The sequence below is a fragment of the Homo sapiens genome, chromosome 1, assembly GCF_000001405.40.
Source record: "Homo sapiens chromosome 1, GRCh38.p14 Primary Assembly".
NCBI lineage: Eukaryota > Metazoa > Chordata > Mammalia > Primates > Hominidae > Homo > Homo sapiens.
Genome location: NC_000001.11, coordinates 96,688,488 through 96,689,530, shown reverse-complemented (window position 1 = coordinate 96,689,530; position 1,043 = coordinate 96,688,488). Strand labels below are relative to the sequence as shown.

Here is a 1,043-nt window from a genome sequence, read left to right as displayed (position 1 = left end):
TTTTCAAGTGGGGAAGAAAAAGGAAAAAAAAAAGAAACAAACTGCTATTATCTTTCTCTGATCTCTCAAATTTAGATCTTTGCCCTTTGAAGCCCAAACTCAAATTACTTGATATTTACCTTGAATAGTTCCCTAGCAACCATCTCATATATATGGAGAATGGCATAAAATTGCTTTAAGAGCTGAAAATCAAACAAATCTCAGCTATATAAAAATATTATTATATAAAAATATTTCAAAAGATTTTTAAAAGTCTTATCATGGAATTAAATGTACAGTTACCCAACATGATTTCAAAATGGCCAGTGATGTGTCAATGACTATACATTTTTCAAAATAATACAAAAGAATTAAATTCGTCTTAGCATATATTTACTGCAATTGTTTACTGGATATGTTGTAATGGACTATCACCCCAGTACATGGCAGCAGTTGTAAAGAAAGATTTGGAAAGATCTATGTTGAGACAATGTGTTAGAAGTTCAGGAAATTTGGCAAAGCCAGAGGACTCTGGTGGCTGGCTCTGCAAGGACTGGGCTGATAAGCTCCTGTGTTTAGGAAATGAGGAAGCTGTGACAGCTGGAGGCAGCATCACACAGGGACAGAACAAGAGGATGTGTTTGTTCAATGATTCTATTGCAGGTAGTGCTGCCCTCTGACCCCTATATGCTCCTTACAGGGGGGTGGAAAGCTGTTGGCCTGTAAATGGGCAATAATAAGGATCAAAACTCCGACCCCCAAAGGGCTGGAATTGGGGTAAAGCTTGAAAGACTATATGAGGATTATGAGGCGTCTTTATACTCACATTCTACTAAGATGCTGTAACAAAAACACATATATTCAGCCTTAAAAAGGAGTAAAATTCAGATACATGATAAAACACGGATGAATGGTAAAACATTGTGCCAAATGAAATAATTCAGACATAAAAGGACAAATATTCTATGATTCTACTTATATGAGGTACTTAGAATAGGCAAAGTCATAGAGACAGAAAGCAGAATAGTGGTTATCAAAGTAGAACAGTGGTGACCAAAGGGAAC

General features: G+C 36.1%; 1 annotated feature.

The window, feature by feature from the left end:
* Positions 404-698: a silencer, noted in NCBI's record as "tiled region #13515; K562 Repressive DNase matched - State 13:Ctcf". NCBI's record gives its function as "represses a minimal TATA promoter and a strong SV40 promoter by Sharpr-MPRA in K562 cells {active_cell/tissue: K562}" and the evidence as "EXISTENCE:reporter gene assay evidence [ECO:0000049][PMID:27701403]".